The following is a 1,310-nucleotide window of genomic DNA, read 5'->3' as shown; positions in this document are numbered from 1 at the left end:
ATCACATTCAGAACCCCTAAAATTGTATGGAAAATGTTGTGTGTATGTGTATGTCTAGGGAAACGAGCTCTTGTTTTTATAACATGCTCCTCTGGTTCCCCGGACTCTCACAATCCTTAGCATTGCTACCTTAGAGCATGTTTCTAACAATGCCGTTATGATAGACTTTGGATTAGCTTCATCAATGTCTTTTTCTCTGGAAGCTGCCATTTCTTCTAGCAAACCATGCTCATCCTATGTTAAAAACAACTTTGTGGCTGGGCATGGTGGCTCACGCCTGTAATCCCAGCACTTAAGTCTCGCTCTGTCACCCAGGCTAGAGTGCAGTGGCGCAATCTCGGCTCACTGCAACCTCTGACTCCCAGGTTCAAGCGATTCTCCAGTCTCAGCCTCCCGAGTAGCTGGGACTACAGGCACCGTCACCATGCTGGGCTAATTTTTTGTATTTTGGCTAATTTTTTTGTATTTTTAGTAGAGATGGGATTTCGCCATGTTGGCCAGGCTGGTCTTGAACACCTGACCTCAGGTGATCCACCTGCCTCGGCCTCCCAAAGTGCTGAGATGATAGGCTTGAGCCACCACACTCAGCCAAAAACAACTTTAAAAGAGAAAAGAAAAAACGAAAGAAAAGCAAAGAAAACAAAAGCAAGAATAATAGGATCAGATAGCATTGCAACATCATATAGTGGAAAAAGCAATGGAATATAAATCAGTCCCAAATCTATTACTTGCTGCAGGTCTGAGCTAAGTCAAGTTAGTTAATCTTTGAGTCTTGGTTTTTTCATCTGCAAAATGGAGATAAGTAATATCAGAGAATTATTTCTCTGATATAAACACAATTATATCAGAGAATAATATCAGAGAATCAATTGGTAGGGATGAGTTTTTCGATGCAACACCAAAAGTACAATCCATGAAAGAAAAAAGTGGTTTGTGGGATTTTATTAAAATTTAAAACTTCTGCTCTGCAAAAGATACTGTTTAGAGTATGGAAAGACAAGACACAGACTAAGAAAAAATATTTGCAAAACACATATGATAAAGAACTTGTATTCAAAGTATACAAAGAATCCACTGGGAAAATTTATGCTTATGTTTGAAAATAATAATGGCCTATACGAACATAAGAATTTTAACTATAGCCGGGCACAGTGGCTCATGCCCATAATCCCAACACTTTGGGAGGCTGAGGCGGGCAGATCACAAGGTCAGGAGTTCGAGACCAGCCTGGCCAACATACTGAAACCCCGTCTCTACCAAAAATACGAAAATTGGCAGGCATGGTGGCACATGCCTGTAATCCCAGCTAC

At 40.8% G+C, this 1,310-nt stretch overlaps 1 annotated feature.

Annotated features, from left to right (window-relative positions):
• Positions 317–472: a silencer, noted in NCBI's record as "fragment chr2:170308062-170308217 (GRCh37/hg19 assembly coordinates)". NCBI's record gives its function as "represses an EF-1alpha promoter that drives an FKBP-Casp9 reporter gene in an ReSE screen in phorbol 12-myristate 13-acetate-treated (for megakaryocytic differentiation) K562 erythroleukemia cells {active_cell/tissue: K562(+PMA)}" and the evidence as "EXISTENCE:reporter gene assay evidence [ECO:0000049][PMID:32094911]".

The sequence above is a fragment of the Homo sapiens genome, chromosome 2 (genome assembly GCF_000001405.40).
Source record: "Homo sapiens chromosome 2, GRCh38.p14 Primary Assembly".
Taxonomy (NCBI): domain Eukaryota; kingdom Metazoa; phylum Chordata; class Mammalia; order Primates; family Hominidae; genus Homo; species Homo sapiens.
The sequence above is the reverse complement of the archived record's forward strand: the minus strand, read 5'-3'. Positions and strand labels throughout refer to the sequence as shown.